We start from the raw sequence: 451 nt of genomic DNA on the forward strand, positions 1-451 counted from the left end.
TTAAGTAATTTTACAGGGTAGTTAACCTGTAAAAGAAACAGTGGATAAACTTGAAAATGCTAATAGCAAAAAACACTTCAGCCATGGCACATACAACCAGAAGCCAATGATATCCTTCAACTATAGAAATTAGCGGTGTTTTCTGTTTATTCCTGAAGCAGGATTCCATATTCAAGCCAGAAATTGTCATTCAACAGAAAAAATCAGGTCAAAACAATCAATCACATAATGTAGCAAGACAAAAGTATGTGCTTATGTGAAGAAAAACAAAAACAACAAATAACCGAACTTTTATTTTCTTGAATATAATATTGATGGCAAGATTGCTAAGAGGTCATCCCTGTATTTAGTTTAGATAAAGGCTTCCAGCATAGAACACTGTTAAGAAGTAACTGTCAGGAGCTATGCAGAAGTGATGAGAGGCAAATAATATAAAAACTAGAAAAGCAGG

The sequence above is a fragment of the Homo sapiens genome, chromosome 1 (genome assembly GCF_000001405.40).
Source record: "Homo sapiens chromosome 1, GRCh38.p14 Primary Assembly".
NCBI classification, from domain to species: Eukaryota; Metazoa; Chordata; class Mammalia; order Primates; family Hominidae; genus Homo; species Homo sapiens.